The following is a 994-nucleotide window of genomic DNA, read 5'->3' on the forward strand; positions in this document are numbered from 1 at the left end:
CTGATGATAAATGTGAGAAATAAACATTTCTAATACTTTATCTAGAAAAGCCCAGATGCTAGGAAATTATGCAACAAAAAATCCACAGGACAAATAAAATATTACAAAGGAAATTAGAAAACATTTTGAGCTGAATTATAATGAAAATCCAATATACAGAAATTTATGACGTGCAGCTAAAGCAGTGCTAAGAAGAAAACCTATAGTTTTGTATGCTTAGATCATTGATTTTTAACTTTTATCCTTTTCTAATATAAACTTCCATGTTTAGAAGCTAAGGAAAGAAAAAAATCTTAAACACAAAATAAATATAATAGGGAAAATAATAAATAAAGAGCAGAAATCAATAAAATAAACTCTAGACAAAAAACAGAGAAGATCAACAAACTCAAATGTTAAAAAAGATTTATAAAATTGATAAATCCCAATGTGAACATATGTAAATAGATGTTAAATATAAAAATATATTTAAATTGTAAAACAAAACCTATCAACAAGGATAGTTCGATATAGTTGACTTCCCTAGTGAATTCCATCAAACAATGAAAGAAATATTAGAATTGTTGCCCATTTTTCTTTGAGAAAAGAGAGTACGAGTTACTTCTAAATATTTTTATAAGGCCAGCACAATCCTGAGGTCAGATATCTGTGACGGACATTACTAGAAAAAAATTACAGATTTAGATCCTTTATAAACAGAGGAAGACTTCTTACCAAAAATATTAGCAAATCAACATTATTATTATATGAAGAGTTAACATAATATGAGCACATGAAGGTTATCCTGAGAATACAAAGCTAATTAAACATTTGAAAATTAATCAGTGTAATTCAAGATGTAAACAAAAAGGAAAATAATCTTATGATGATAATAATTAAATGGCTGCAGGAAATTCATTTGAAAAAATTCAACATTCAATCTTCTTAAAAACTCCCAGCAAATCAGGAGTAGAAAGAAATTTCCTCAACCAGGTAAAAGGCATCCACGCTAAAC

Source organism: Homo sapiens, chromosome 7, assembly GCF_000001405.40.
Source record: "Homo sapiens chromosome 7, GRCh38.p14 Primary Assembly".
Classification (NCBI taxonomy): Eukaryota; Metazoa; Chordata; class Mammalia; order Primates; family Hominidae; genus Homo; species Homo sapiens.